This window comes from Homo sapiens, chromosome 3, assembly GCF_000001405.40.
Source record: "Homo sapiens chromosome 3, GRCh38.p14 Primary Assembly".
In the NCBI taxonomy this organism is placed as follows: domain Eukaryota; kingdom Metazoa; phylum Chordata; class Mammalia; order Primates; family Hominidae; genus Homo; species Homo sapiens.
The window spans coordinates 187,563,861-187,589,943 of record NC_000003.12 but is presented as its reverse complement, the minus strand read 5'-3'; the positions used below and the strand labels follow the sequence as shown (position 1 = coordinate 187,589,943).

The 26,083-nt window shown below is 39.9% G+C and overlaps 2 annotated features.

Annotated features, from left to right (window-relative positions):
- Positions 20,535-21,517: an enhancer, noted in NCBI's record as "NANOG-H3K4me1 hESC enhancer chr3:187286215-187287197 (GRCh37/hg19 assembly coordinates)". NCBI's record gives its function as "activates a minimal SCP1, AML or CMV promoter by ChIP-STARR-seq in naive H9 embryonic stem cells {active_cell/tissue: H9 hESC(naive)}" and the evidence as "EXISTENCE:reporter gene assay evidence [ECO:0000049][PMID:30033119]".
- Positions 21,518-22,501: an enhancer, noted in NCBI's record as "NANOG-H3K4me1 hESC enhancer chr3:187285231-187286214 (GRCh37/hg19 assembly coordinates)". NCBI's record gives its function as "activates a minimal SCP1, AML or CMV promoter by ChIP-STARR-seq in primed H9 embryonic stem cells {active_cell/tissue: H9 hESC(primed)}" and the evidence as "EXISTENCE:reporter gene assay evidence [ECO:0000049][PMID:30033119]".

Here is a 26,083-nt window from a genome sequence, read left to right as displayed (position 1 = left end):
CATGAAAGGGTTTATATGGGCCAGGTCTGGAAGTGGCACACATTATTTGCCTCAATATTCCACTGACTAGAACTCCTGAAAATGGCCACAATGAACTATAAGCTTGAGGTAAGGAGAGTGGAAAAGGATTGAGAAATGTAGTGCCTGGTTGGGTAGGCAGTTTCTGACCTAATCCTACACTAAGGAAGAGGGATCATGTTTGAAATGGACAGCTAGCCATCTTTCTCAAGTGGATATTTTGTTGCTATTTTTGGATTTGAGTCAAAGTAAAATAGAATGCTCTCAATTGATGTTCGTATTACTTAAATAGGATTTCCTTTAACTATTTTAATTTTTTCTTTTTTTCCTTTTTTTCTTTTCTTTCTTTTTTTTTTTTTTTTTTTTTTGAGGTGGAGTCTTGCTCTGTCGCCCAGGCTGGAGTGCAGTGGCGCTATCTCGGCTTACCACAAGCTCTGCCTCCTGGGTTCACGCCATTCTCCTGCCTCAGCCTCCCGAGTAGCTGGGACTACAAGCGCCTACCACCATGCCTGGCTAATTTTTTGTATTTTTAGTAGAGACAGGGTTTCACTGTGTTAGCCAGGATGGTCTGGATCTCCTGACCTCATGATCCACCCACCTCGGCCTCCCAAAGTTAATATATTCTATTCTTGATATGGTTTGGCTCTGTGTCCGCACCCTAACCTCATCTTGAATTGTAATCCCTGTAATCCCCAGGTGTTGAGGGCAGGACCTGGTGGGAGGTGATTGGATCATGGGGGCAGTTTCCCCCATGCCATTCTTGTGATAGTGAGTGAGTTCTCATGAGATCTGATGGATTTATAAGTGTTTGACACACGCATTCTCTCTCTCACCTGCTGCCATGTAAGTCATGCCTGCTTTGCTTTCCACCGTCATTGTAAGTTCCCTGAGACCTCCCCAGTCATGCAGAACTGTGAGTCGAGTAAACTTCTTTCTTTTATAAATTACCCAGTCTCGGTGGTATTCTTTATAACAGTGTGAGAACAAACTAATACAATTGTAATAAGCAAAGAATGACTATTCTGCATATCCAGCCAATTTTTACCTCTAAAACAATAGTATCCATCAATTTTTAAAAAAATCAATAGCTTAGTCAAAAAACAATATGTTCATCTACAACCGTCTGACCTTTGACAAACCTGACAAAAACAAGCAAAGATCAAATGATTCCTTGTTTAATAAATGGTGCTGGGAGAACTGACTAGCCATATGCAGAAAACTGAAACTGGACCCCTTCCTTACACCTTATACAAAAATTAACTCAAGGTGGATTAAAGACTTAAATGTAAAATCAAAACCATAAAAACCCTAGAAGAAAACCTAGGCAATACCATTCAGGACATAGGTATGGGCAAAGATTTCATGACAAAAATGCCAAAAGCACTTGCAACAAAAACTAACATTGACAAATTGGAATTAAACTAAAGAGCTTCTGCACAGTCAATGAAACTATCATCAGAGTGAACAGGCAACCTACAGAATGGGAGAAAATTTCTGCAATCTAACCATCTGACAAAGGTCCAATATCCAGAATCTACAAGGAACTTAAACAAATTTACAAGAATGAAACAAAAAACCCCATCAAAAAGTGGGCAAAGGACATGAACAGACACTTCTCAAAAGAAGACATCTATGCTACCAAGAAACATATGAAAAAAAGTTCAACATCACAGAAATACCTCAGGTCTCCAGTGTTGTGAGGCACGACTAACTCCCTAGTAGTCTGTAGTAAGAAAGGGAACTGGAGTACCCGTGATTCTTTTTCAGAAATACCATTTGACCCAACAATCCCATTACTGGGTATATACCCAAAGGAGTATAAATCATTCTACTACAAAGACACATGTACACCTATGTTTATTGCAGCACTATTTACAATAGCAAAGACATGGAACCAACCCAAATGCCCATCAATGATATACTGGATAAAGAAAATGTGGTACATACACACCATGGAATACTATGTAGCCATAAAAAGGAACAAGATCATGCCCTTTGCAGGGACATGGATGAAGCTGGAAGCCATTATCCTCAGCAAACTAATACAGGAACAGAAAACCAAACACTGCATGTTCTCACTCATAAGTGGGAGTTGAACAATGAGACCACATGGACACAGGGAAGGGAACAACACACACCAGGGCCTGTCAGAAGGTGGGGGATGAGGAGAGGGAAAGCATCAAGACAAATACCTAATGCATGCGGGGCTTAAAACCTAGGTGACGGGTTGATAGATGCAACAAACCACCATGGCACATGTGTGCCTATGTAACAAACCTGCACATTCTGCACATGCATCCCAGAACTTAAAGTATAAACAAAAACACTGTGTTAAACCTTATACCAGGTTTTGGGGATATACCAATGAGCAGGACAGGCAAGTCTTCTGCTTGCGTGGTCCTCAGATTCCAACAAGGACAGACTGGGGATAGACAATAAACAGATTTTTAAAATCAAGTAGCGCTAAGTGGTAAAAGTAAAATAAGACAAGGTAGTGAGAAATGGAATGGCTGGCTGCTATTTAGAATGTGAAGTTAGACACGTGCCCTTTGAGGAAGTGGCATTTAAACTGAGACCTCAGTGACTAAAGGCGGGCAGCCGTTTTGGGATCTTGGGTAAGAACTTTTCAGGTTCAGGGATTGGCTCATGCAAATGCCCTTACATAGTAATGGGCTTGACTGTGAGACAGAGACAAGGCAAGTGTGGTTAAAAAGTTGTGAGAGGAGGGTGTGATGGGGTTGAGAGCAGACATGGTGTCAGGGAATTAGATAACACAGTATCTTGAAGGCCATGATAAGGAGTTTTACTTTTATTTCACATGCAATGGGAAGCAGTTGGAGGTTTGAAGCAGGAGAGTGACTCTCCTTTCAGTTGTTGTTGTTGTTGTTAACTCTACTCTGCTTGTTATGACAAGAGTGGATGGAAGAGGGCCAGGAGAGGCAGGGATGGTACTTAGGAGGCCTTTGTTATGATCCAACATAGGGTAATAGCAAGTTTGGAATATGGAGGTAGTAGCAGAGATGAATGAAGGATGAAACTGATGAGTATTTTGGAGCTTCTGTGGTCCAAATTTCTGAAGGATTTGTTGTGGAGGGAGTGAAAAAGTACAGATTTCTAACTGCCTCTTATGTGGGATGCATTTGCCAACTTTCATTATTTTACTGAATCCAAGATACCTCTAGAAGAAGTTTCTTATGGTCTAGGTAGAGGGTCAGAAGATCTGGTTTCTGTTTGCTTTTCCTTGCTGTCTTATTTGCCTGAACAAACTCCTTGCTCTTTAATTTTTGTAAGAAAATGAAAATGGCCTCTAACACTTACCTAAGAAAACTGGTGAAGGGTGATAAATGTGATAACATTCTCTGCAACAAAATTCTAATAGGAACAAAGATGCTCTTCTGGCTGGGAGATACATCCTGAGCATTTGAATTTAATCAGACTGCAGCATATTTCTTTGACCTTTTACAATGATGATGACTAACTGGCTCCCATGTGGGTAGCTTATATTTTAGACAAAGGAGGGAAAATAAAATCATTCTTGACTTGGGGCAGTTGATATCATTTAATTGAGTCATAGCTGCATAGACTACAACTGAATATGCAGAGGAATCCAGGGAGAATTTGTTCATTAAAAGGGTGATTTCTTCCTTTTGCTTTTTTGCCCCTTTGTTAAGAAAGGGTCTTCTGTTCATTTTGTCTTTACCTGATTTGACTTGTGATGCAGACAAGAAACTCAAAAGAGCATGTGAGAAGGGATTTCAGTCTGTATATCAGCTGTCATTTTCTATAAGTGAGCAGGCACTTGTAGGACCCAGAGATTATGGAACTGGAATTTTAGGTACACTATAAAGCAAAGTAGAACTACAATTCACCCTTTCACATGTTAGAGTTTTGAGTTTGCAAAATCATTTACTCAGACTGCAGTCAAATATTAGTGATTTTGTGCAAACTAAATTCCCCCCTTGTAGGAAATATACAATGAAAACAATAGTTCTATAGTTGGGAGACTTTAGCTTCTGTGATTTCTATTTCCCCAGGTATGTATGATCATTCAGTACTGATGCTCTCTTACATTTTTAATTAAAACTATCTGAATTTTTGCACTTTGTAGGCCTTGCAATATATACTTCTAAAGGTAGTATTTAAGATCATACACCTCAGATCTTACATCACTCCCTATTAGGGAAAGGTGTGTGGCTTTTTATAGCACCAAGAGAAAAATTCTCCTGAGTATGACTGTCTATGTGTCTGTTAGAAGGAGAAGTTATAAAGATCTACAAAGAGACTTACAGTCCCAGACACTAATAGTGAAAAACTTCAACACTCCATTGACAGTATTAGTCAGATGATTGAGGCAGAAGATTAGTAAAGATACTCAGGATGTGAGCTCAACATTGGACTCAGTGGAGCTGGTAGAGGTCTACAAAACTCTCCATCCAAAAACAACATAATATACATTCTTCTCATTTGCACAGGGAACATACTCTAAAATTGACCACACAACCGGACATAAAACAATCCTCAGCAAGTGCAAAAGAAACTAAATGACACCTAACACACTCTCGGACACAATGCAATAAAAATAGAAATCAAGACTTTAAAAAATTGCTCAAAACCATGCAATTACATGAACATTAAACAACCTGCTCCTGAATGACTTTTGGGTAAATAATGAAATTAAGGCAAAAATCAGGAAGTTCTTTGAAACTAATGAGAACAAAGATACAACATATCAGAATCTCTAGGTCACAGCTAAGTCAGTGTTAAGAGGGAAGTTTATAGCACAAAACACCCACATCAAAAAGTTTAGAAAGATCTCAAATTAACAACCTAACATCACAACTAAAAGAACTAGAGAAGCAAGAGCAAACCAACACCAGAGTTAGCATTAGACAAGAAATAACCAAAATCAGAGCTCAACTGAAGGAGATTAAGACATGAAAAACCATTCAAAAAAATAAACACATCCAGGAGTTGGTTTTTTAAAGAAATTAGTAAGTAGGCAACTAGCTAGACTAAAAAAGAAGAAAAGAGAAAAGGTCCAAATAAACACAATTAAAATGACAAAAAGGATATTACAACTGACCCTAAAAAACCACAAATAACATCAGAGACTACTATGAACACTTGTACACACACAAACCAGGAAACCTAGGAGAGATGGGTAAATTCCTGGACACATGCACCCTCCTAAGACTGAACCAGGAAGAAATTGATTCCCTAGACAGACCAATAACAAGCCCTGAAATTGAATCAGTAATAAATAGCCTACCAACCAAAAAAAGCCCGGGACCAGACTAATTCACTGCCAAATTCTACCAGATGAACAAAGAAGAGCTGGTACCATTTCTACTGAAACTATTCCAAAAAACTTAGAAGGAGAGACTCTTCCCCAACTCATTCTATGAGACTAGCATCCTCCTGATACCAAAACCTGGCAGAGATACAATAAAAAAGGAAACACTAGGCCAATATCCTTGATGAATATTGATGCAAAAATCCTCAACAAAATACTTGTAAACAGAATCCAGTAACATAAAAAGCTAATCCATTGCATCGAGTAGGCTTTATCCCTGGGATGCAAGGTTGGTTCAACATATGCAAATAAATAATGTGATTCATCACATAAACAGAACTAAAGACAAAATCCACATGATCATCTCAATAGATGCAGAAAAGGCTTTTGGTAAAATTCAACATCCCTTTATGTTAAAAACTCTCAATAAAGTACGCATCGAAGGAACATACCTCAAAATAACAAGAGACATTTATGATAAACCCATGGTCAACGTCATCCTAAATGGGCAAATGCTGGAAGCATTTCTTTTGAAAACCAGCACAAGACAAGGATGCCCTCTTTCATCATTCCTATTCAATATAGTATTGGAAGTTCTGGCCAGAGCAATCAGGCAAGATAAAGAAAAAAAGAGCATCCAAATAGAAAGAGAGGAAGTCAAACTATCCCTATTTACAGATGACATGATTCTGTATCTAGAAAACCCCATAGTCTCAGCCCAAATGTTATTTCAGCTAATAAACAACTTCAGCAAAATTTCAGGATACAAAATTAATATACAAAAATCACTAGCATTCCTATACTCTGATATGGCTTGGTTCTGTGTCCCCATCCAAATCTCATCTTGTAGCTCGCATAATTCCCACGTGTTGTGGGAGGGACCCAGTGGGAGATGATTGAATCATGAGGGCAGGTCTTTCCTGTGCTGTTCTCCTGATAGTGAATGGGTCTCACGAGATCTGATGGTTTTAGAAATGGGAGTTTTCTGCACAAGCTCTCTTTGCCTGCTACCATTCACATAAGATGTGACTTGCTCCTCCTTGCCTTCCACCATGATTGTGAGGCCTCCCCAGCCATGTGGAACTGTAAGTCCAATAAACCTCTATCTTTTGTAAATTGCCCTGTCTCAGGTATGTCTTTATCAGCAACATGAAAATGGACTAATACATACACCAAAAACAACAAGGCTGAGAGCCAAATAAGGAACACAATCCCATTCACAATTACCACAAAAAGAATAAAATACCTAGAAATACAGCTAACCAGGGAGGGAAAAATCTCTACAATGAGATTACAAAACTCTGCTCAAAGAAATGAAAGATGACATAAACAAATGGAGAAACATTCGATGCTCATGGGTAGGAAGAATCAATATCATTAAAATGGTCATACTGCCCAAAGCAATTTATAGAGTTAATGCTATTCCTGTTAAACTACCTATGACATTCTTCACAGAACTAGAAAAATTGACTTTAAGGTTCACAAAGAACCAAAAAAGAGCCAGAATAGCCAAAACAGTCCCAACCAAAAAGAACAAAGCTGTGGGCATCATGTTCCCAATTTCCAACTATACTACTACAGGGCTACATAACCAAACAGCATGGTACTGTTGCAAAAACAGACACATAGACCAATGGAACAGAATAGACAGCCCGGAAATAAAGCTGCACAACTACAACCATCTGATCTTCAACAAAGCTGACCAAAACAAGCAATGGGGAAAAGAGTCCCTATGCAATAAATGGTGCTGGAGTAATTGGATAGCCATATGCAGAAGATTGAAACTGGACACATTCCTTACACCATATACCAAAATCAACTAAAGATAGATTAAATACTTAAAGATGAAACCTAAAAAGTGTAAAATTCCTGGAAGACAACCTAAGCAAAATGTAAGACTTCATCATTTCATGACAAAGATGCTAAAAGCTACAGCAACAAAAGCAAAAAATTAACAAATGGAGTCTAATTGATCTAAAGAGCTTCTGCACAGCAAAAGAAACCATCAACAGACTAAACAGACAGCTTACAAAATGGGAGAAAACTTTTGCAAACTATGCATCTGCCAAAGATGTAATATCCAGCATCTATTAGAAACTTAAATTTTCAAGTAAAAAAACAAACAACTCCATTAAAAAGTGGGCAAAGGAGATGAACAGACACTTCAAAAGAAGATATACGTGCAGCCAACAATCATAAGAAAAAAAGCTCAAAATCACTGATCATTAGAGCAATGCAAACCAAAACCACAATGAGATCACCTCACACCGGTAAGAATGGCTGTTATCAAAAAGTCAAAAAATAACAGGTGCTGGCAAGATTAGAGAGAAAAGCGTTTGCTTATACACTGTTGGTGGGAATGTAAATTAGTTCAGCCATTGTGGAAAGCAGTGTGGCAATTCCTCAAAGAACTGAAAACAGAACTACCATTCAACCCAGCAATCCCATTACTGGGTATATACCCAGAGGAATAAAAGTTATTCTGATATAATGACACATGCAGGCATGTGTTCACTGGAGCACTATTCATAATAGCAAACACATGGAATCCACCTAAACAACCATCAATGGCAGACCAGATGAAGAAAACGTGGTACGTACACACCATGGAATACTATGCAGCCTTAAAAAGGAACAAGATCATGTCATTTGCAGGAACATGAATGGAGCTGGAGGCCATTATCTTTAGCAAACTAATGCAGGAACAGAAAATCAAATAATGCATGTTCTCACTTATAAGTGGATGATAAATGATGAGAACATATGGACACAAAGAGGGGAGCAACAGACACTGGGGGATACTGGTGGGTGGAGGGTTGGAGGAGGGAGAGAATCAGAAAAAATAGCTATTGGGTACTAGACTTAGTATCTGAGTGATGAAATAATCTGCACAACAAACCCCATGACATGAATACCTATATAATAAACCTGTACATGTACCCCTGAACCTAAAATAAAAGTTTAAACAAAAAGAAGAAAATAATTTCTATTGTCTTTTTATTTAGCCCCATAATTGTTTTCATGAATGAACACAATGTACAGTGCAGCCACTATGTCTAGTTATTTTTCTGTTTTTAATTATTTTAAAATATAATAATTTTTATAGTCTGTAGCAGATAGTTCTATTATGTCAAGTCCTTGAGAGTATTTAATTTTCTGCCTTTTGTATCTATAATCTCGCTCTGTCTCTCTCTTTCAAGGTGGTTAATTTCCTTGTGTTTTCATAATTTTAGGTTTTAAGATCATCTTCTGTAGGGTTTTGTCTGTGAAAATATTGGGAGTCCTGGATTCGAATTTTTCATTTGCCTCTGGGAGGTATAACTAACTCTGTACAACTTCTGTTTTTTTTTTTTTTTCTTTCTTTCTTTTTTTTTTTTTTTGAGATGAAGTATCACTCTGTCACCCAGGCTGGAGTGCAATGGCACCATCTCAGCTCACTGTAACCTCTGCCTCCTGGGGTTCAAGCGATTCTCCTGCCTCAGCCTCCTAAGTAGCTGGGATTACAGCTGTGTACCACCACGCCCAGCTAATTTTTTTCTATTTTTAGTAGAGACAGGGTTTCACCATGTTGGCCAGGATGATCTCGAACTCCTGACCTCAAGTAATCCACCCACCTTGGCCTCCCAAAGTGCTTGGATTACAGGTGTGAGCCACCATGCCCAGCTTATTTAAAAACTTCTGTTTTTAAATAAACTTTTTATTGTAGAATAGTTTTTCATTTACAGAAAAGTTGCTAAGATAGAATAGAGGATTCTTGTATGCCCTATACTCAGTTTGTCCTATTGTTAATATCTTACAGTAGTATTATGCATTTACCACCACTAATGAAACAACATTAACAAGTTATTATTAACTGAAGTCCATATTTTACTCAAATTTCCTTGGAATTTACCTAATGTCCTTTTTCTCTCCCAGGATCTCATCCAAAACATCACATCACATTTAGTCATCATATCTCCTTAGGTTCTTCTACCCTGTGGCTTCTTGAGACTTTCTCAGCCTTTCTTTTTTTGATGATCTTGACCCTGTACCTCTCATGCACCTAAAATATGTCCTCAAAATACATGAGGAAAAATAATCCAAATTATAAGAAGAAAGAGTCAAAACCACAGTCGTGCTGAAAGATTTTCACACTCCTCCCTCAGATTTCATAAATCAAGTAGATAAAGCTTAGTGAAAATATCGAGAATATGAATAACACAATTATCAAACTTGAGCTAATGGAGATGCATAGATAGAGCTCTGTATCTCCAAATTTTAGAAAACCTACTGTTTCAAGCACATATAAAATTTTTACAAGAGTTGACCATCTGCTCCTCCACAAACCAGGTTTCAACAAATATAAAAATCAGGCCGTGTCCCTTGACCGTAGCACATCAGAAATTAACTACCCAAGATAATTAAAAATCCATGCTTAAAATACATTTAAAAATAAAAGAACACACATAATTCATGGATCAAATACAATATCAAAACAAACTTAGAAAGTATGTAATATTGACTGAACAAAAATGTGTCAAAACTTTTTAGATGAAACTAAAACAGAACTTAGAAGGGAAATTTTGGCCTTAACATTTATATCGCCAAAGAAGAAAGTTTTATCTTAAAGTTGATGCACAAAGACTATTTCTTAAGAAGTTAGAAAAAGAAGAAAATAAAACCGATGAAATGGGGGAGGACATTCTGCATGGCCTATGCAAGGAAGTACAAAGAATTGCCAGTACTTAGGGCTTTCTGAAGCACAGGTGTACACACAGACACACACACACATTGTATTCAGAAATTAGATATACTGTGGAAATGGTACGCTTAAGACATTTCTTCCATAAAAAAGTTAACATAATATTATAAAGTCACCTATATACCCTTCAATGAGATTCAACAATTTTAACATTTTTTCATATATCTTCTCTCTCTCTCTTTGTATGTATACTTTTTTCTGTACCATTTCAGAATAAGTTTTTGGCATTGACACCTCGCATATAAATACATCGACATTCATCTTCTAAGAATAAAAAAAATTCACTTTATGATACTGTTGTCACCTCCAAGAAAATAAATAATAATTTCATAATATTGCCCAGTATTAATACTTAAGTGTTCCTAATTACCCTGATAATGTCTTTTTAGCTGTTTCTCTTTTCTTTTCTTTCTCTTCCCAACCAGATCTGAGGCAAGCCTCATACATTGAATTTAGTTGTTATGTTACGTCTCTTTACTTTCTTTTAGTCTAGACGCTAAAGGAATTCTCCCACAATTTTTTTAAATGAGATTGAATTTTTTAATAGTACAGATGGTTGTCCTATAAAACATCCTATATTCATGACTTTTCTGATTACCTCTTCACAGTATCATTTAACTCGTTTTGCTGTCTCTCATATTTTCTCTAAACTGGAAGTGTGTCTCAAGGGCTAGATTACATCCAGATGAAATCCTTTGGGACAAGAAGACATCACAGAGAATCTTGTGAATTTTGCACTGCAGTACATAGACAGCCACTGATGCCAGCCTACCCCACTGCCAGTGATGTAAAGTTTGATCATTGGTGAACGTGCTGACCATCAAATCTCTCCCTTGCAATCATTTATTTTCCCATTTAAATTTGTAATTTGTGTGGTGATATTTTGCCACCATGAGAATATCCTGTTCCCCACAGCTTTTTACTTCACTGTTTCAGCTTTCTTTGACTATCCTCAACTGCATCAATTATTATACTGGGGCTTACGAAAAGGTGATTTTCCATTCTTATCCTTTATTACTTTGAAGACTTTGGATGTGATTCAAATTTGAGTTCTTTTTCTGTATGCAGAGTGGAGTCAATGGATCTTTATATAGCGGAGTTTGAAGAAGCGAGAGAATAAAGGTGTTTTATGGAATTTGTACCAGGATCCTGGGGTTCCAATATCATTTTCTCATCTTTGAGGCTCCTGGTGAAGAAAGTTACTTTAGTCTGAGCACTCTTTCTAATCTGCAGGGGGACCTTCTGTGGGAAAATGGGGGCCCTTGTACCCTGGATGTGAGGTTGTCCTCAGAGGAAATGTACAGTGTAAGCAGCCTTTGACTCAATTATGGCCTTTAACTTTACAAACAACTGTCAAGTCCTTGCTTATAGGGGAAATTATATGTGTGTATATGTGTGTGTGTATTATATGTATTATATGCACACATACATATAGCTCCTTCTGTGAGAGAATGCTTTGTCCATACCCGTTTCTACATCACAGCTTTGCACCTTCTCCCACGCAGCCTCCTGGCCGCCATCTCCTGCCTCCCTGGAGCAATTATTCTCTGGGGTCTATTAATCTCTCCTCTTCTTAGAGCAATTCCCTGTTTGCCAATTCTTTCCCACTTATTAATAGCAACTTTAAATAGGTCTAAGAACATTATAGTGAGGATGAAGGATTTTGTCTACCCTCCGTAGACAAAAGATCCTCCAGTTACCTGGACCTATGCTTTTCATATATACATATATATATATATATACACACACACACGTATATATATACACACACACATATACACACACATAATTTCCCCTGTAATATATGTATTATATTATACATATAACACATAATATATGCATATTTAATGTGGTATATATATATATGTGTGTATGTATGTGTGTGTGTGTGTGTGTGTATATATATATATCTCGTATAACTACAAAGTGAAAATAGACACACAGAATAGATTGCCTTAACACATAAGACTCATTTTTACTGACCCATAGTTGTTGGGTTTTTTTTTTTTTTAAACTTTTATTTTAGGTTTGAGGATACATGCGCAGGTTTGTCACATAGGTAAACTTGTGACATTATTTTTGTAAACAAAAATAATCTGTTTGTTGCACAGATTATTTCATCACCCAGATACTAAGCCTAGTACCAAGTCATTATTTTTCCTGATCCTATCCCTCCCTCCACCCTCCACCCTCCAGTAGGCCCCGCGTCTGCTGTTTCCCTCTTTGTGTCCATGAGTTCTCATCCTTTGGCTCCCACTTATACGTGAGAGCATGTGGCATTTGGTTTTCTATTCCTGCATTAGTTTGCTAAGGATAATAGTCTCCAGCTCCATCCATGTTCCTGCAAAAGCCATGATCTGGTTGATTTTTATGGCTGCATAATATTTCATGGCATATATGTACCACATTTTCTTTATCCAGTCTCATTGATGGGCATTTAGGCTGATTCCATGTCTTTGCCATTGTGAATAGCACTGCAATGAACATTCATATGCATGTTTCTTTATGGTAAAATGATTTACAGTCTTCTGAATATATACCCAGTAACGTGATTGCTGTGACCCATAGATTTTACTCTTAGAAATTTTTCATCAGGAAAATGTACAAGAACCTATCTACAACATCTCGGTGTGGTTTACTTCAATAAGTCAAATAAACAGTGATAATGCCAAGCAATATATATTGCTTAAATAAATTTTTGTGCGGCTCTATAATGGATATTATGAAGCTATTGAATATTATATGGTAGGAGTAGATTTAATGACAATTTTATAAGTTTAATATGTAAATTAGTAGATGCAAATACGTACAAGGACACAGACCTGCAAAAAGGACACAGACTGATTCCCTTCCAGAAATCTCCAGGCCCCAGCGCAGATGTGCACTTTGGAAACTTGGGGTTGCCAGACTCCACTTGCTGTCAACATTGTGGCTTCATTTCAGCTGCGATATAAGCAAAATTACTGTAAAGGGGATTATCCATTCCTCTACCCACCAGCGTCTGCATCCCAAGTCCTTTTAAGCCAAAATGCCTGATATATGTAAATGTATGCTTGCTGCTCGTTCCTGTTTCCCTGTTCTCTTTCTTTAAGCTCCCTCCAAACTGACTTCATTCTTAAGGAATAATGAGCAATGTAGAATATTGTAGAATTCACAGAGAAGGCAGAGAAGAAGACTGATGTTTCACAGTGCACAGGCCCTCATCTCAAATCCTCCCGTGAGAGGATGCTTTTTCCATACCTGTTTCTACGTCACAGCTTTGCACCTTCTCACACGCAGCCTCCTGGCCATCACCTCCTGCCTCCCTGGAGCAATTATTCTCTGGGGCCTCTTAAACTCTCCTCTTCTTTGAGCAATTCCCTGATTGCCAATCCTTTCCCACTCATTAATATCAACTTTAAATAGGTCTAAGGCCATTAAAGTGAGGATGAAGGATTTTGTCTACCCTCAGTAAACAAAAGATCCTCCAGCTACTTGGATCTATACTTTTCATATCAAGAAAGATTATAAATAATAAATATTTTTCTCCAGCCTGTCATGTATTAAATAAATGTTCTATTATTAATATGTTTCTCATGTAATAAATGTAAAACAAAAAGGGGAAAAGGTGGTCTTTTTCAATCTTTAGTCTGGAGCAGGTACTAGTGAATGTCCAGTCTCCAGGGTAGGGATGAGGTGAGGTCGGTCACAAGGTAAGGCCTCTCAGCAACAGAAGGGGGGACCAGGACACTCTCTGAGTGATGAGGTCAGAGACATGGGACAGGGATCAAGACAGTGACTTTGTTACTGGGACTAGATTAGAGGGGGATAATTACAGTTTCCGTTAGGATGCTTTTGGTCATAAGCAACAGAAAATCAGAAAAATCAAATTTAGGCAAAAATAGAATTTATTGACTTATCTAGCAAATATGATTTGATCCAAGGCTCACGAATGTCACAAAAATATTTTTCTTCATTTCTCTGTTCCCTTTCCTATTTTAACTCCATTCCTAGGCAGACTTTCTCCATAAAGTAGCAATACGGCTGTCAGATAACAATCAAGTAGAAAAGAGGTATCTTTTTTCCCCCCAGCATTACTGTACCAGCAAAGTGGGGTAAATTAAGACCCATGCCCATTCGCATGCAGGGGATGCATATATGATTGGCTTCTGTTTGGGTCGTGTGTTTCACCCCAAAACACTCAGGCTGGAGGTGAGGAAGGGCTGAATCCTTAAAGAAGAGTAGAGCTGTATCCAGAAGACTTCAAAATGGATACCAAGGAGGTAAGTAAAAGATGTTTCCTACACAAATCTGAGGTCTGACAAAGGCCTGAGCCATTGCGTATAACTGAGAAACAACAGAATTGCTGACTGGAGTTCCAGTTTGGGGCTTTATTTTTTGGTTTATTTTTATTGTAGGGTTTATTTTTAGGGTTTAGCATTATTTTAGGCTTTATTTCTCTTCCCTGAGTTTTCTAGCAGGTTTCAAGAGGCTCTAATTTTAGGAAAAAGGAACATATGATGCAGACTGGTCTTGACAATTAAAAAACAAAAACCAGTCTCAGAACTGAAAACAACATTACCTGCACCCTGTCTGTATAAGAAGCTTACATACAGGCTGGGCGTAGTGGCTTACATACAGGCTGGGCGCCTGTAATCCCAGCACTTTGGGAGGCCGAGGCGGGCAGATCATGAGGTCAGGAGTTTGAGACCAGCCTGGCCAATATGGTGAAACCCCATCTCTACTAAAAATACAAAAACTTAGCCAGGCGTGGAGGTGCCCACCTGTAATCCCAGCTACTCAGGAGGCTGAGGCAGGAGAATCGCTTGAACTCGGGAGGCAGGGGTTGCAGTGAGCCAAGATCACACCACTGCACTCTGGCCTTCTGGCCTGGGTGACAGAGCGAGACTCCATCTCAAAAAAAAAAAAAAAAAAAAAAGAAGAAGCTTACGTAGAGTATTAAAGAGGTAATATGTGAATTTTATTTATTACCGTAGTAGAACTCTTTTATATATATAAAGGTTTTGATTCTCAAACTGCCCCATAAGAATTATCCTCAGAAATATAAATCTTTCAGACTTCAATAATATTCAAAGCCCTCATGAAGACTGGCTTTCTAAAAAGCTGTTGCTCTTCCTACCAACCCCTGTCTTTCTTTAATTGAAAGAAACTTTGATCCAGGCAGGTGAGCAAGTGAGGCTGATGGGTGATATTTTCCAGATGCATTTTAATTGGAAGCTAGTTTTCCAAGGTATTTTCCTGGTTCATTATTTGTAATTAGTTTTGCTAAAAATTTTTGTGCTATTTTAATTCTGTTTAAAAACCTCCTTGTTCATAAGATATAATTGCTTTACAAGGAAAGGAAGAATAATAAGGGAAATTGTACCTTAAAATCCAATAGCCTGAATACAAGCCTCAACTCTACCATGTAATAACTTTGTGGTTTTGAGAATATGTATATCTCTAAGCTTCATTTTCATCATCTCTAAAATGGAGATAATATTAACATGCAGGGCAATTGTGAGGATTAAATGAGAAAACTCAAGTAAAAAGTCTCTGACACATCCAGAAACATATACAAGCTCAATAAATGTTATTTCCCATTGTCGTCTTCCCTAACTTCTAACAAAGTAGGGATCTTACATCAGAGGAGAACTTCTCAGCTCTATATTCCAATGCAGAAGGGGCATCTGGTGATCATTAAAATATCTGAGAAACATTTTTTAAAATCTTATTTTTTTTCCTCCTTTAAAGAATATCCAGAGAATTCACTGGAGTCTGTTCATAGGTCATGTTCAAACTAGGAAAATGACCGCTGTCTGCAGGGCACCCAGGTGAATTGGGAGAAGTTAAAGTGCCATCTCCTTTGAGAAGCCTCCCTTGATCCCCCAAGGCTGATCCAGGTGGCCATTTTTTCCCCCAGCTCCCTGGTACAACACCTCCAGAACAGGAGCTAGCAAACTACAAACCAGGGGTTAAATCCAATCCACCATCTATTTTTTTGTACAGCTTGCAAGCTAAGAATGATTTTTTACATGTTTAAATGATTGGAAAACATGAAATGAAGAATAGTATTGCATGACACATAAAAATGAGATGAAATCCGAGTTTCAGTCTCCACAAATCCTATGTTGTTGAAACATAGCTGTGCTCGTACATTTGAGTATTGCCTATAGCTGCTTTTGCATTACAATGGCAGAATCAAGTAGTTGTGACAGAGACCACATAGCCATTAAAGCTGAAAATATGTATTGTCTGTTGAACCCTTATAGAAAAAGCTTGCCAACTTCTCTAGAACATTCACAATTGAGTCATACTGCACGTGTTTCCTCCAGGCTCTATATCCCTTGAGGACTGGGACTGTCTTTCATCTTTGTGTCTTTAGCATCTAGCACAGTGCCTGGCAAATATTAGGCATCTGTAAATTTGCATCTTTCCCCTTTTTGGGTATCTCTAGTAAGGTGTCTTCTTACTGTAATCCACAATAGGTCTGTCCCAGGGTATCCAGCCTTCAGTCATTCTCTGCATCCCATGGGTACTTAAAGGTCTGATAATTGTAGGTGTGGCCAGAGCCTGTTGAACCTTTCAGGTATCTGAAAACTAGAGAAGGGATCACTGGAAGGTTCCTTTTCTCTGTATCCTGTTTTCTGAGGTGGTATAGTGTCAGGGAAGGAGCACTGGATGTTGAGACTTGGCCTGATGAGGCTGTCCTCAACTAACGACTTCCGGGTTGTGTGATCTTGGGAATAAACCACCTAAGTATCACTTTCTTCATCTGTGGTATAGAGATAAATATTACCCCACAAACCTCACTGGGTCTTGATTATGTTGGAGAATACCTGCCTCTGGTGGGTTCAGGGGCCTTGTCTGTTTTGTTTACCTTTATATGTCCTGGTTTGCACAATGCCTGGCACACAGGAAACCGGAGGTTCTCAGCTGAGGCTGAACATTAGAATCAGCTGCGGACTTTTAGCTGACCACCAACACAGAGCACCACCCCAGACCAATTCAAATAGAGACTCTGGGAATGGATCTGGACATCAGGTTTTTATTTTTCAAGCTCCCTAGGTGATTCTGATACTTAGGCAGGATTCACAGCCCCTGTTGTGGAGTGCTCAATAACTATTTGCTGAATGAATGAATGGGATGAAGTTGTTCCTGCAGATGCTTTGCTCCTCTGTGCTTTGAGATGCTAACTAAAGAAGTCAGGATTTTTTTTTGCGTCAGGGATAAAATGTACTGTTCCTCACTGATTGAGTCACTCTCTCCAGTTCACGGAGGTCTGATTCCTGTCTTCTTTACCCTTCACTGACTTGCATGACTGATAATTCTCTTGTTATGTATTTGACCCTTTTGCCACTCCTGCCTTTTGTCCTCCACTTCCTTTTCATCCTTGTTCTTGTCAGTTTCCCCTTCTCCTTTGTAATCTTCTCAGGCTATTTTTCTTGCTGTTAAGTTCACTAGTAGCACTCGCTTACCACCCATAACACCAGGTATTTTCAACTATTGCCATTTTTTTCTTGGGGCTAAATTAGTTTTACCCTGTGCTTCACATCAGAAAATAAATCTCTAGACACTTCCTTTTTCACTCTCTAAATTTCTGTGTCTGGGAATAAATAGATAGTTGCAGAAGCTTTCAGCTAGTTGAAGAAGTAGGAAATCCAACTTCTCACTTTGCAGAAAAGAAAACTGAGGCTCAGCAAGAGGAGCAGCCTGCTCTGGGTCACAGAGTGAGCTTATGGCCCAGCTGGGGCTGGATCAGAGATTTCATCAGGTCCAGTTCACGTGCCCTTCAGACTGCCACACAGCCTGATAGGTAGGCCCTAGGGTGTTTTGGACAATTCATTGCCTCTCTGTCACGGGGGTCGGCACCTTTCCAAAGCTGCATCTTGCCAGACTCTATTACTTTGATCTCTCAAAGGAGAAGGGAGTGTTGCTAGTAGTAGTCACATGTAGGTGTGGGAGGGCCTGGCTGACCACTTTGGTTTAGTGACACTCCAGAGGACCCAGCCCTGCATGTGTAAGCCTCCTGGCATACAGACCAGGAGAAGCAGGTGATGACAGATGTCCCGGAGGGGCAGCAGAGCATCAAGAGAGCTTTCCCCATAACCACGTCTAGCTGCACCCCCAACAATGACATGGTCATGAAGAGCTAGGCACTTTCCTGCCTGCAGAGACCTGCACTGTCCAATACAGTAGCCCCTAGCTATAATTAAAATTCATGAAAATAGGATTAAATTAAAGCCTCATTTATTTAGTTGCACTAGCCACATTTCAAGTGCTCAGTAGCTTCTGAATTACTGTATTCAAGGCTACCATATTGAACAACATAGATATAGAGCATTTCTAACATGCCAACAATTCTTTTGGACAGGCAGCTCCAGATGCTTGGGTAGGATGAGTTAGTCTACAGAATGAACACCACAGCTAAGGACAATTAAAAAGAGGTCTCCCCATGCTGTTCTTCTCAGGTTCTGAGATTCCAAGGCTGGTGGTGCAACCAATCAGCACCTTGTCTCCCCTCTCACATCCTGCCATCTCCATGTATGGTTTATTTCCCTATGAGACTCTGAGCTTCTTGGGAGCACTGTCTGTCATTGATTAATTTTGTTTCCACAGAATAAAGCACAGGACTTGATATAGGATAGGCCTCAGTAAAATGTACTAAATAAAATTGTGAGTTAATGTTCTTTAACCATTCAGTATTATTTTTAAAACAATTGTATTCAATACAATGGCAAAAGAAAAATCTGTCTTTTTGGTAAAGAGGAAGACATATTGAAACTAGCTGTTGCTTACGTGGGAATCAGTGTTAAGTTTCCTTCTCCTGGGGGAGAAGGCTCTGACACTTTGCTGGGGGTGAAGGGCAGTAGGACAGGAGGATGGCAGGGCTGAGCACAGGTTCTCAGTAAACATAGGCTTACAAACTAATCCTCCACTTGGGGATTAGCTCTGCCTCTTGCACAGGGTTCTGGGATGGAATTTCTACTGATAATTCTAAGCCAGAAGGCAATGTGGAGTGGTGAACTAGGAGGCCAGGGGTCCAAATTTAAATCCTGGCCCCAAAATCAATGAGCTGTTTCGTGAAATTTAGTCTTTTCATGACAGTCCAGGCTGGTAATAAACTCTGTCCTCCCCAGTGCACAGACAGGATTGAAGTGAGGCTCAAGTGAGATTAAGTCCTAGGAGAAGCTTTGTAGCCTGAACAATGTATGTCACCGTGAGGGATAGTGGTCCAGAGGGTTACTCTGAGCAAGTTTTATTAGACTATGGGGCCTACCATCGTCTAATTAAAAACTCTGGAAATGCTAGAAACTGCTCTGGAAATGCCAGCAACCCCTATGGAAATGTGAATTTTTCCTTTTGGCAAGTGATGTTTGTACTTGCCAATCAATTGCCTGGTTCAATCCTAGATTTATTAAAGTAATGCAACAGCCACAAAAATCTCTGGCAAGTCAACAACAACAAAAAAAGGGCTTAAAAAAAAGCTGACCTAAAAGACCCAGCACATCCCACTGCCCATGTTGTCTTCAAGCCAACCAGAAAGTGATAGAGCAAGGGTGAGATTCAAATCCATATTTTCTGACTGCAAACCTTAAGCTTTCTCCAGGGCTCTCTGGATGCCTGAGCTATGGCTCAAATCAGTTCTCTACCAGACATGCCATAATTTGGGTTTATGATAAGGCTAAACATTTCTTGTTCCCTTTAGAAAAATCTAGGTAATTTTGGAAGGTTTTCTGGTCTGAGATAATCTCATTCAAATATTTTGATCCTATTTTGGATTACACCAACTTTGCTGATAATTCTATGTAGTTATGGCAACAAATAAATGTTAATGTTCCCCAAGAGTACAGCTAACCTTTTCATTATCTAGTTAACTTTTCACAACCCCTATCTGGCACCATTTCCTAGTATTTGGAGACTGATGGGATACAGACCTGGCAATATTCCTTATTCCTTTTCAGGTTAAAATCCCTTCCAGGAGTGCTTCACAGTCAGGTGCTTTTATTAATTCAGTCATTTTCTCTCAGCCAGCAGTTTCTTGACAAGCCCATAGGCTGTGGCTTGACCCTTACTGAACCTACACCGTGGACATCAGTGGGGTTCCGTGTGTCCTAATGTAGCCTGAAGGTACAACTTGCAGTATTAAGTGTGGGATGGAGTGAGGTCAGGGACAGATCTGTCACTTACTCAGTGGTCCTGAGCCTTGATGATTTTACCCATCTTATAAATGAGAATAACAATCTTAGCTTTGCCTACCTCCCAGGGTAAAATGGATTTAAGAGACATTGATTGTTATGGGTTGAATTGTGTCTCCTCCAAAATTCCTGTGTCAAATATCTACTCCCAATAGCTCAGCATGTGACCTATGAATTGCAACAATTCAGTCACATCTTCACGCTCTGTCATGCAGGCTGGAGTGCAGTGGTGGGATCTCGGCTCACTGCAACCTCTGCCCCCCGGGTTCACGCCATTCTCCTGCCTCAGCCTCCTGAGTAACCGGGACTACAGGCATCCGCCACCACACCCGGCTAATTTTTTTGTATTTTTTTTTAGCGGAGACGGGGTTTCACCATGTTAGCCAGGACGGTCTCGATCTCCTGACCTCGTGATCCGCCCACCCCAGCCTCCCAAAGTGCTGGGATTACAGGCGTGAGCCACCACCCCTGGCCCCTTCAATAGCTTTTTATTTGTATTCAGAATTTGGCTAGAGGCCAATTTGACACAAGAGGCTTAGCTTTCAGCTTATCTTGGCTTTTGACATGCTTTCTTCACTAAGCTTAGTCATTTCTAACTTTTGATTTAAAGTGAGAGATGTGTGACTCTTCCTTTCACTTGAACACCTGGAGGCCATTGTAGGGTTGTTAATTGATCTAATTGTCTCAAGTTACAGGGAAATCCAAGGAGAGGGAGAGAGACATGGGAATGGCCAATTCATAGAGCAGTCAAAACACGCACATTTATCTATTAAGTTTGCCATCTTATATGGTGTGGTTTGTGATACTCCAAACAGTTGTAATATTAACTTCAAGGATCACTGATCACAGATCACCATAACAGATATGATAATAATGAAAAAGTTTGAAGTATTGCAAGAATTACCAAAATGTGACACAGAGACATGAAGGAAGCACATGCTGTTGGAAAACTGGCACCAGTGGACTTACTTGGTGAATGCAAGGTTGCCACAATCCTTCAATTTGTAAAAAACTCAGTATTTGTCAAGTGCAATAAAGCAAAGTCAACAAAACAATGTATGCCTGTATGTATTTTGCATTTGCTGGAAACCACATAAAATACTTTACTGATTTTGTGAAGTGAACAAAATGTCTCCATCAGCCAAAGGGGTAATCCTTGATTCATTCTTCCTCCTGAGATTTAGCACATAGAGCCCAGGAGCAGAAGCCAAGGGTGGCCTGCCTGGTTGGCCGCCCTGTGCCACCAGTCCACTTCCGGCTGAAGCCTTGGCCTGCCCCATGTTGGCTCCAACCCAGCTCCCACCAGTCGCTCATGCCAAAGGAAAAAATTCAACATATGCTTTTTTGACTCCTGATTCACCACCCTCTCCACCACAGGCATGGATCTCAGACTCTTCTTTAACACGCTGAAACTGAGTTTATTTAGCTTGTCTCATCTCTCTTTGAAAAACAATTGCTGCATATTCTGAGCTGCCTTCTCAGTCCCATGCTTCTCTGTTATGGATGACAATCCTACTTCTCCCAGACTTTGCCAATCATTTTAAAGAAGCTTTTCAAATGCTGTGAGCAGCTGTGTGTGTGTGTGTGCACATGTGTGTGTATAATGTCAGTGTGTTGGGCTCCCTCACCAGAGAGTCAGCTCCAAAATGTCAGAACCCCAGGTCTCTCTTGCTCAATCAGTACCTAGCGCATGATTGGGCTACAACATGATTACTGAATGCATAAATGAATGACTTTTATGTGAGAAAGGTGGTATGATCTAACTTTAAGAATTTAAGACCGTCAAAACCTGTGGTTTAATTATTACATCCAGAAATAACATTTACTAGCTGTGTACAAGTGAACAAATCACCACTCAGAAGAGCCTCAGCATTGGAATCTGTGGAATGTAGATAATGCTAACTTCTCTGCTTAGCTAAAAGAAATTGGGAAGTTCAAATGAGGTAAAGAATGGTGTGGTTGTTTTATGCACCAACTTGGCTAGGTTGTTGTACTCAGTTATTTAATCAAATACAAACTTAAGTTGTTGCTGTGAAGGTATTGTGTAGACATAGATAACATATACCATTAGTTGACTCTAAGTAGAAGAGATTATACTCTCCAACTGGATGGATCTTATCTAATCAGTTGAAAGGTTTTAGGAGCAAAAAACCGAATTTTCCCACAGAAGAAGAAATTCTCCCTCAAGACTGCAGCAGCCAGTCCTGCCTGAATTTCCACCCTGCTAGCCTGCCTTACAAATTTTAAACTTGCCAGTCCTCACAATTACATCAGCTAGTTCCTTGAAATAACTCATACATATATGATTATAAATAAATGATAAATATAAATTATTTATTTCAAGGAATATATACATAAGCATTATATGCATATTGGCCATCTACATATATATAGTTTTTCCTCTGGAGAACACTGACTGATACAGGTGACATCATGTTGGTCAGTATGGAGGGTTATGAAATGAAGGGCAGGGAACCAAGGGAGGAAGTCAGAAGTTTCACTGCCAAGCCAAGGGAAACCGAGAGGCTGGGAGTGCCAAGTACTGCAGTCTCTCTGTCTTCCTTGGAAATGTGCATCACTGCAATGCTTTCTGCAGGAAGGAAGGTGTCCCAGATGGTTTAAAGGTCCCACCTCCCCAGGTCCTGGCTGGGGCGGGGCTGGCATACACATTCTCAGGGGGTTGAGTGTGTAGGAAATAGATATTAACAAACAGGCCCCTAAGGTGGGAAAGAGAGGGCATCAGGGGCAGCAAAACTTGGCAGCTCCTTGCACCCTACCCTTGCAGAAAAGACACAGAGCTGTCTGTGTGGGCGTTCTCCTGGCCGACACTATCCTAATTAGTATAGGCCCCCTCTGGAGCTGCAGCTTCTTTTATTAATGCCTTCATTAAAAGGTCTCCCCTAATCAGTCAGCTGTGGAGCGTGCTTACAAGAAGAAGTTTCTCTGGGCTCATACACAGGCCTTGTATCTGAGAAAGAAAAGTATCCAGTTTATGTGTGCAGGGTTAGAGGGTCTTCTAGAAACCTTTTTGCAGACAGTGCTTGCCCTTAACCAGTCTCTTCCACTCTCTTTGCACTCCTCCTCCCACCCTACAGGCATTTGATGTGACAAATAAAAACTAAACCCTATGCAGCACATTGGACTCACACCTTATTCTCAAAAAGAAACAAAGTTTTGCAAAAGTTCTTAGCCAACCTAAATGAGCAAGTGGCTCATTGAAATAGGAAATGTTATATCTTATGCTCCTTCACTGTAATAATAACAGCAACACTAATTATTCTTCACATTAGTATATCAGCTGGTGATTTAAAACATGTATTCATCTCCATTATCTGCCCAGTGCCTGCTATGTGCCATTCTCTGAAGTTGGCACTGGGAAGTCAAAGATGATTGACTTGAAAGTAGGATATTTTATTCATCAGGAAAAAATGATCATGAAAACATTATGCTGAGAAGATGCACCGCAGGAAGCTCTGGGAAGGGATAGCCAATTGTCTGGAGAATTAGAAAAAGTCTTTAGAGGAAATGTGAATAAGCTAGGTTGTTTGAGAAAGAAAAACAATCATGCATTTAGGAATACATACACACATATACATACATTTAGGAAAAACTTTAGGATATTCCTCTCTTTCCCCACAGTTCCATGATGAAAGGTCTTTTTGGGATCAAGACCTTGGAGCGGGGCATGGTGCATAATGATGAAATTGTGATATGCAGCCTGGGTGGTGGCCATGTGTCTCTAGGCATTTTGTGGTGGGGCCCGAACCCATAGGAAGCTGTAGTAGAAGCAGTCCCGGAAGGGGAGGCAGGAGGCCTGGGTGCTAGATCTCGCTCTGCTGAAAAGTCAGCATTTGACTTTGGGGAAGTCATTTCTCCTTCTAGACTTCAGTCTCTTCATGTGTTAAATTAGTTCCGTTTTCTTTGTTTAATATTGAAAGCTTCTTTCCAGATATAGACAGAAAACTGAAAAGTAGGTGAAATTGATAGAACAGAGCTATTTTCATTCTTAGGCTCATTATTCTTCCCACTGAAGCTGGGGAATGGGTAAGAGCCACAGCAGCCTTTTTTCCCTTTTTACTCCCAAAGGAACCCCAGAAGCATGTCTCTTTCACTCTTGAGCACTGAAGAGCAGTTTGAAAGCCATAGGACCGAGGGCTCTTGGAATCCTCTACTCTGAAAGCAAGTACTTCTATGAAACTCACCAAGAAATCTGGTTTTTAAAAAAATGATAACAGCCAATAGCTAATATTTATGGAATATTGTTTATCAGGTTGTGTTCTAAGAGCCTTTCGCAACCCCGTAAGTTAGGCATATTGTCATCACCATTTTAGAGATGAAGTAAATGGAACATGAAAGGGCTGTGACTCACCCAGGGCCATGCAATTTTTAAGAGGCAAGATTCAAACCCAGACAGTACGGCTCCAAAGGCCATGATAATAAATAATAACCATTATGCTATACTGCTTTTTAACAGTCCCACAAATGTGTTCCTTGACATTTGCTTAAATAGCTCAAGCTATAGCTTAAGTTCATTTATTTTTAAGCCCATAACAGAAGTAACCAATTGAAGAATTAAATATGTCATCCTATAACCTAATTGCTGTTCTTTAGAACAAAGTTATGATGAGGAGTTTGTTTTCCTGAATGTAGCTGGGCGATATTTTTCTGCTCTACTGAATTCCATTTCTTCTTCCTCTCTCCATATTCCACAGGCCCTGATTTTTTTCCTTTGGTGGAGAGGAAGAACAGCTGGTCCCCATCTTCATAATATCCTCCATTTGGCCACCATTAACAAATTTATCAGCCTCCCCAGATCTAAGCAAAAGCAGCAGAAAAGATCTAGGTATCCCCATATCCCACAGCACTGGGCAGGGGTCTGCACTGAGTTGCTGGTTTCAGGACAGTCAGAGAAGTTCTGGGAAAGGGACAAGAGTAAGCTCCCTGCAAAGTCCTAGCCTCCAACCTCAGCTGAGCCCTCGCCACTCATCACTAAGTTTTTATTTCCTGTTTTCTAATGTCTGATTGCTTCCCAAAGCAGTCGTGCAAATTCTTCTCCACATTTCCACGTCTCAAACTGCACCCTATTTCCTCAGTTTCCCCAGTTCACAGCTTGTCTTTGATTTGCCAGCAGGGATCTTCTCTGCTCTGAGCTTCCTCAGCTTCCTGTGGCTCACTAGGAAAATCTTTCAGAGCTCCTCCCCGTTCTTTTCTCCTTTTCTTTTCCTTTTGATGAAGAAGTGCCCTGTATCCTTCCCCATGGACTCCTGGCCTTACCCTGCCCAGCTCTCCCCAAGCACTTAGCTCTGTCCACTCTCTCTCTTAAGTCTCCTGCTCCCTCAGTTGCTTTTTCTCCTCCCACTCTATGCCTTCAACCAACAAATAATGCAGGTTTCACTCATTTCAAACAGACCTTTCTTTGATCTAGTTTCCTAGTCTTCGCATCATCTTATTGTCCTTTCCGCTACCAAATCATGTGTTCATTTTTTCTTCTCGAGATGGAGTTTCACTTTCGTTGCCTAGTCTGGACTGGAATGGTGTGATCTTGTCTCACTGCAACCTCCGCCTCCTGGGTTCAAGCAATTCTCCTGCCTCAGCCTCCCGAGTAGCTGGGATTACAGGTTCGTTCCCCCATGCCCAGCTAATTTTTGTGTTTTTTTAGTAGAGACGGGGTTTCACCATGTCCGCCAGGCTGGTCTTGAATTCCTGACCTCAAGTGATCCGTCCGCCTCGACCTCCCAAAGTGCTGAGATTACAGGCATGAGCCACCGCGCCCGGCCGATGTTTTCATTCTTCCAGCACTTCTCTCTCCTCATTCTTCCTTGTAAACCCGAATCACAGCTCCTCCTCAAAAAT